Source organism: Homo sapiens, chromosome 4 (assembly GCF_000001405.40).
Source record: "Homo sapiens chromosome 4, GRCh38.p14 Primary Assembly".
Lineage (NCBI taxonomy): Eukaryota > Metazoa > Chordata > Mammalia > Primates > Hominidae > Homo > Homo sapiens.
In genome coordinates, this window is record NC_000004.12 from 1,408,039 (window position 1) to 1,414,038 (window position 6,000).

A 6,000-nucleotide genomic window follows, 5' to 3' on the forward strand; every position below is an offset into this window, starting at 1 on the left:
AGGGAGCCTGGAACTGGTTGGGCGGGGCGGGGGGGGGGCGCAGGGCTTCCCGTCCCTCTTCCCCTCCCCTTCCCCTCCCCTTCCCCTCCCCCGCCCTCCCCGCTGCTGGTCCATCCCGAGATTCTAATCAGGTCCACAGCACCGTGTCCTTCCTTGCCAGGACTTGATTATTCTTTATCTTTAACTTATAAATCACCTCTGGGGAAGGAGGGTGGGTAATCTCCCATCGCAGGGAGGCAATTATCTCCTTTGCCCACACCTTGGTCTTCACTCTCTCCCCCTCCCCCAGCTAAATTTGGATATAGAGGTGCACACGCCACTCACACACACACTCGTTCACAAGTGCGTAGCACACACAAGCACCCAGCATCCGTTCACGAGCATCCGTTCACGAGCACCCAGGCACACAAGCCCTGCAGAGCCCTCACAAACGCGCTGGCATCCCTGCATCTCCCTCTTCCCCGCCAGCGCCAGCGCCAGCTCCGCGCTGGTGTTGGTTCCTCTTTCACTGTTTCCCGAGGAGGGGCACACCAGACACTTTCCAGATTGCTGCGCCCCCTCCCCAGGAGACCGCTGGGTGGCGGGCGAGGCCTGGGTCGGGGAGGGCCGGGCAGGTCTCAAGGGCATACCCCTGACCTGGCTGCCGGTCTCCCTGCAAGCACAACCCACTCAAAGCTTCCGTCCCTGCCACGGCCTGACCTCAGCCAAACATCTCCCACTAGTAGCCACACACCCACCCTGCCGGGTCCCAGATAGTTGGAACACCTGCGCGTGAGGAAGGGATGGGTAATGGGCACACAGCCCTCTTAGTACAACTTTCAAAACGAACACAATCACATGGAAAAGATGTTTTATACAACATAGATGAAGTATGTATGATGGTTGTCGCTAAAACATAGTAAATATAACACATTAAATACGATAGGGAATAGCATAACGGAATTGCGTTATAATATACAATTATGACTCGTTTCCCAGCAAACACGTGCACATCGAGCACTGCAGAATGTTCTCCCTGATGGGGGCGGGGGCTGGCCAGGGTTGAGTGCCACTTTGACGAAAGCACGTGGCTATCTGAAGTTTGTGGGCCCCAAGGTTCTCCTCGAGCCTTCCCTCCCCTCCCCTCTCTGCCCCACACCATCCTCGTGTGAGCCGCAGCGGGCAGGGTAATGAACTTCGAAGTTCTCAGTCAGGTTCAGAGGAGCAGGGGCCGGGTGGTGGAGCCTGAGGGGACCCCCGGAGCTACACAGGGCACCTCCCGTCGCCTCCCCTGGGAAAGGCTTGGAGACGGCATCGCTGCATGCTCCCCTGCCCCACCCCTCCCCCATCTCTGAGGAACAAGGTAAGCCACAGAGATGCAGGGCACCCCTCCTCCTCTCTCAGATCCCCAGAAACATACCTCCCCTCCCCGATCTCAACCTAGCATGTCTGGGGCTATAAAGACGTCCTTTCACTCCTAATCACAATTGATTGTCAATTAGACCCCCATTTGTGCAATCTCTGCCCATCTGCCATCTCGGGTTATCTCCAAGACACCAGCTTCACTTGCAGGGCCCCAGGTGGGCACTGACAGGTGAAATCAGTGCCGGGGGTGGGCTGCCCCTGCCTGCCCAGTGCACAGGAAACATTCCCTCCATTGCAGAGCTCTCCCCTGCTGCAGGTCCAGGTGGGGTCACGATGGGCTTGGGTGTGGGCGTTGGCAGGAACACGCCTGGGACAGGAGCAGAAGTATGGGTGGTGGTAAAGGGTCTTAGAAGGGAGCATGAGGAAAGGAGTGGGTGGGAGCTGAGACTTCGAGGATTTTCTCCCCAGCATTAGAGGTTTTTAAAGTTTGAGGGACAAGAGGAAGAGGGGGAGCCAGCCACCACTGCCACGAACTCAGCATGGGTTTATGAACCACCCCCCGCCGCATTTTTTTCATCTGTCAATTGTAGGGGTTGAGTCCCATGCGAGCTTCCAGGTCCTGATACCCTCCCCTCATGGGGTGAATGATGACGACAAGGTCACAGCCTTTTACTTGGTGCATGGAGGGAAGTCCCTTCTCTCTTTGCCTGGAAAGCTTTAGCTGGATAGGCTGGAAAGGCAGCAGGGTCCCAGGGGCTCTAGGGTTGGGCAGAGGCATAATCACCTCCACTTTGTATAGTGTTTGCCTCGTGCGAAGTGCACTCCACCCCACACTTGGCCCCACAGCCTCGCTGTGCACCTCCTTGCATCGGCCGGACGGGGGCGGGGGGTGCGGGCGGAGGACGGGGAAGGAGGCTCCTGTGTCCCCTCTTCTCGCCCCTGCACACACTCGCGCCACGGCGACCCATGTTGATCACCGGAGTTTGGGAAGTCAGAGGGGAGCCCTCTGCTTTCAGGCCTGGGTTCCTTCTCTAAGATATGCCCACTTAGGGGCCTGTGACTCCTCCAGAATGAGTGTACCACACTCGGGACACCAGAAGCGAGAGGGGACACAGGCTCTGACCTCGAGAGCACGTCAGCTCTGGAGACCCGCGGCCCCAGCCTCGTGTGCCTCCGCACAGGGCAGCTTCAGCACTGCGAACAGCGCCAGCACCGCGGACAGCGCGCTCCCACCTCGCCCCCGGAGGCCACGGGCTCGGGCCGTGTTCAGCACCGCGGACAGCGCCAGCAACTCCGAGGGTCTCCTGGCCTCCAGCCCGCCGTCTCTGACCTCCCTGCCCCGCCCTCGACTCCTTCTCAAACTTTGGGATGCCCCAGGGGAGGAAGAGGGCGGCAGGCTGTGTGTGGAGTCTTGGCACGGCGTACATTACACAGCCCGATCAAAAGCCAGCCCGTTCACCTCGACCAAGCCAGCATCCACCAAAGGGCCAGAAGTTTACCAGGCCGCTCACCGCGTGGGCTTCCATTCTCCTACCTGCAAGCTGCGCGAGTTAAGGAGGGAAAGCACGTGGCACAGGGCCTGGCTTCTGGCGAGGAGCCCACCAGAGATGCAAAGGTGAGGCTGAAACCCTTTAAACTTAAAAACAAGAAGATACAAACAATTGGAACAACTGGGGACATGGGTGCTATGTGGAGGGCAGGACGCCTGGCTTCCCATCAGGGCTGCAGAGGCGGCCGCGGCTGGCTCCCTCTCCCGGGTGCTGCTGGTTGAACTTGGAGAGCACCCTGGCTCCTGAGGGTTTACCGACCACAGGGTCAGGCCGGGGCAGGGATTACCACCTTACAGATGCATAGCCTGAGGCCAGTGAGGACCCACGCTGTGCTCAGTGCCCCTGGCCGGTAAGTGGTAGGATTTTTATGTGAACGCTGGGTTCCTTTCACACAGCGTTTTTCATGTGCAAAGTCATAGGTAATTGTGTGACTGGTCTCTGAGAGAAAGCATCCAAGCCCAGAGGGGTCCTTACTCCTCAGGCTCTGTCCCTCCAGACTCTCTCTTATTGCCCCTGCCCTCTCTGGCCTCTGCCTGCCACTGGCTACACTGCATGGGGCAGCAGCATGCCCAGGTTGGAGCCTGCCTGGGATGGCCACATTCCCTCCCTTGTCCCCAAGCTCCTGCTGGTACTCAGGGCTTGAAGCATAGGCATTCTCCTGTCTGTGGCTGCCACAGTCGTCTAGGGGTCTGTGTGGGAATCACCAGAGTCATGTTGCCTGGAGACACATGGTCAGGAGACCCCTCCTGAGTGGGGGTCTGGGGGTGCCTTGGCCGCCTGGCCTCTGCCTGCCACTGCCCCAGACTGGCTGCCTCCTGTCTGCTTTCCATCATTCTAAAATGTAAATTGAATAGTACTCCTCCCCTTCCAGAAGTGCCAGGGACCATGTCTAGGCTCTGCAGCCTGGTATCAGGGGCCATTCCTGGCTGGATCCTTCCAGCTATCCTGTATGCTCCCTAGGCCTGTACCCGGTACTCCAAGCCCCTCCCTGTGCCTGGATGGCCGAGCTGTCCTCTCTGCTGGTGGTTACTCTGAGCCCCTCCCTGTGCCTGGATGGCCGAGCCGCCATGTCCTCTCTGCTGGTGGTTACTCCGAGCCCCTCCCTGTGCCTGGATGGCTGAGCTGCCATGTCCTCTCTGCTGGTGGTTACTCCGAGCCCCTCCCTGTGCCTGGATGGCCGAGCTGCCATGTCCTCTCGGTGCCCTTAGCCACTCACTAGTGCACATGCATCATCCCTGCTCCCCTTCGTGGCAGCACCACCTGGAGGCCACCCTGATTTCCTCAAGTAAGGCAGGTGCCATCCTGTGCACCCCTCCAACCCAAGCTTTCACAGTTCTGCCTTAACACGTCACGTGACCTTTATCTGTTCACTGGCGGATCCCCCCCCCGCCCCCGTGCCCCCGAGACTGTAGAGGCAGGATGCAAAAGGCAAAAGCATTCTGGGACAGGGAAGAGTGAAGGGCCCAATGCTGGCAGGTGGGGCAGTGTTTCAGCCTGTGCACCCCACCTCCACCCTTTTAGTTGTCTGACATCCTGGTCCATCTGTCTAGCCCCTGGGCAGGGAAACGGCTCTGGCCACCTTGACTCTGTCCTCCACGAACAGTGTGGTCTGGCACTGATCCATTTTCTCCGTGTGGGCTGGTGGACCCCTGCTCTGGGCTGCTGTGTCATGGCTTAACTTGGAGGAACTTCCCTGGGCCCCCAGAGACACCTGGGAGCACACTACCCCCTCCTCCATGGCTGAGCGGCTGGTGGGATTTACACCCCCGAGCTGCCCTCGGATCAGGCCACGGGGGACTTTACAGAGAGGTATTTTTGTCCAGTTCTGGCTCTGTCTTTCCTGGACTCCCTCTTGATATCCCTGCCTTTGGTAAGTCCCGGGCATCTGAACACATCTGAATCCCTGCCTCTGGCTCGGCTTTGTCTTCCCCAGAGGCGGTGCAGGAAGAGGATGGAAACAGAGACCTGGGGAGTCCCCTGCACAGGGGGAGTGGTCATCCCTGCCATGCTGTGGAGCTTGGCTCCAGCTCAAATCAGGAGCCAGGATGTGTGGTGTGCATTCACAGTAGGGCCCGTCTTCCCTCATTGCAGCCCCATCCAACTGGGGAAGCGTTAATTGAATCAGCAGTGTGACCCATGGGAGAATTTACCCACAATTCTCCTCCCTTTACCCTCTCCGCAATCCATGGCCTTCCTCTGGGGAACAAACACTTCCAGCCACGCTGAAGCTGGTCTTGGCCCATGACCCGCAGTGGGCAGAGTGGTGAGGTGTGGGTTCTGAGCTCAGGCCATAAGGGCCCCCTGCCGGTTGGAGACCCCCCTCCATGAGAACGTGCTGCAGGGAGCAATTACTCCCTCAGCCTGGGACTTGGAATGAAGGCGTGGAGCCAACTGGATCCAATGCGAAGCCTTCATCCTGATGAGCCCACCAAGGGCAGACACACTGAGCCGACCACAGCCCAGAGCAGGAGACGGTGCCGCTTCGACCCTGTCTTCGGGGTTGTTACCCAGAGGCATTGTAGCAGAGACCACCCGCCTGGAAGAAGTGGTGTCCCTGGCCACTGCAGGCCGCTGAGTCTTGGGGTTGAGAAGACGTGACTTCAGCACCACCACCGTGCGTCTGCCTGGAGCCCACCCTCTTACCTGGCTCCCATCTCACCTGGCTCCTCTGCCTCAGTTTCTCCCTCTGTGACAGGGTTCCATGCGTTCACCTCTATCCTCCCCACCGTTACCCCAGACGCGGGTGCCAGCATTTCTTCCAGCACGCCGTGCCCCACGAGGAGCCCACTCCCCCGTTATCACTCACGGGGCTCCTCGTGGCTCCTCCGACAGGGTGGGCACTGTGGCGGTCGTAAGGGGCAGGGATGAGCGCGCTCAGGGAGACCCCGCGGTTACCGCAGCCTTTCAGGGAGGAGGGAGGCGGCGGATGCGGTCTGGGAGGGCTCCAGGCGTGAGAAGGCGGCCCTTGCCTGGCGCAGGGGAGCAGGGAGCTTCCAGGGTGGGTGCGGGGAGGAAGGAGGAGTAAGGGGTTAGAGGCCAGGTACACAGCAGGTGCTCAATAAACGAGTTCGGCACCGTCATCCCGCCCTGCAGGGCCGCTCTGGGT

At 59.6% G+C, this 6,000-nt stretch overlaps 1 annotated feature.

The window, feature by feature from the left end:
* Positions 2,423-2,717: a silencer, noted in NCBI's record as "tiled region #3424; HepG2 Repressive DNase matched - State 10:DNaseD, and K562 Repressive DNase unmatched - State 8:EnhW". NCBI's record gives its function as "represses a minimal TATA promoter and a strong SV40 promoter by Sharpr-MPRA in HepG2 and K562 cells {active_cell/tissue: HepG2 | K562}" and the evidence as "EXISTENCE:reporter gene assay evidence [ECO:0000049][PMID:27701403]".